Source organism: Homo sapiens, chromosome 3 (assembly GCF_000001405.40).
Source record: "Homo sapiens chromosome 3, GRCh38.p14 Primary Assembly".
Lineage (NCBI taxonomy): Eukaryota > Metazoa > Chordata > Mammalia > Primates > Hominidae > Homo > Homo sapiens.
Genome location: NC_000003.12, coordinates 20,757,637 through 20,758,453, shown reverse-complemented (window position 1 = coordinate 20,758,453; position 817 = coordinate 20,757,637).

Here is an 817-nt window from a genome sequence, read left to right as displayed (position 1 = left end):
CACAAAAAAGTTTTTTGAACACTTCTCTAGAGCATTACCAGAGGAGGTGAAGGGCAGCCCCTTCTGATCTTGCTCCTGCATTTGTTCCCTTGGGTCTGAGTTCCTTTTAGGCATCTTTGTGGAAGAATGGTGTTGCACTCACTTAGAAACTTGCTCAAGAGACTGCTGATTTCCATGTCTAATAAAGCTTGGGAAAATCTAGGCATTGTTCAAAAAGTCATTGATCTTGACTTTAAGATACCCCTCCCTAGACTTTACGCTCTCTCTAGAACATTGGCAAGACCTTAGTCACTGTAAGGGTTAAGTGTCACCTGCAAACTTAAGGGGTTTGCAAAAAGGGGTTGTTTGGCATCATGAATTTGGAGATATGTCTGACATAACCTGGAGTTTCTACTATGTGTTTTATCAGAGTAGTTCTACATATAACTGTTTTTGCCATTGAGGTCTTGATAAAGATTTTTTCTAAATAAGGGCTTTCTATTAACATGTTTGAACATCTCTGATCTAATTAATCTCAGTTTCTTTCCCTTTTCCAATGTCAGTAATCATGAGAAAGAGCATAGGAACAGTGGGTTACTTTCTCTTAAAACAAACAAAAAAAAAAGTGGGCTGGCTTTGTAATTACACTGCTTAGCTTAGAGGGAAGAATAAAATCCATCATAACATGGTCTGAGTATTAGCAAATTCAAGATTGAAAAGCTCTCTGGAGTTGCTGGTTGAAGGCTTAAACCAAGAACTTTCCAGCACTGAGATAAAAATAAATAAAAACAGAGAAAATAGTCTCTTGAAGCATAAATTGAAGAGCCCTACTCACTGC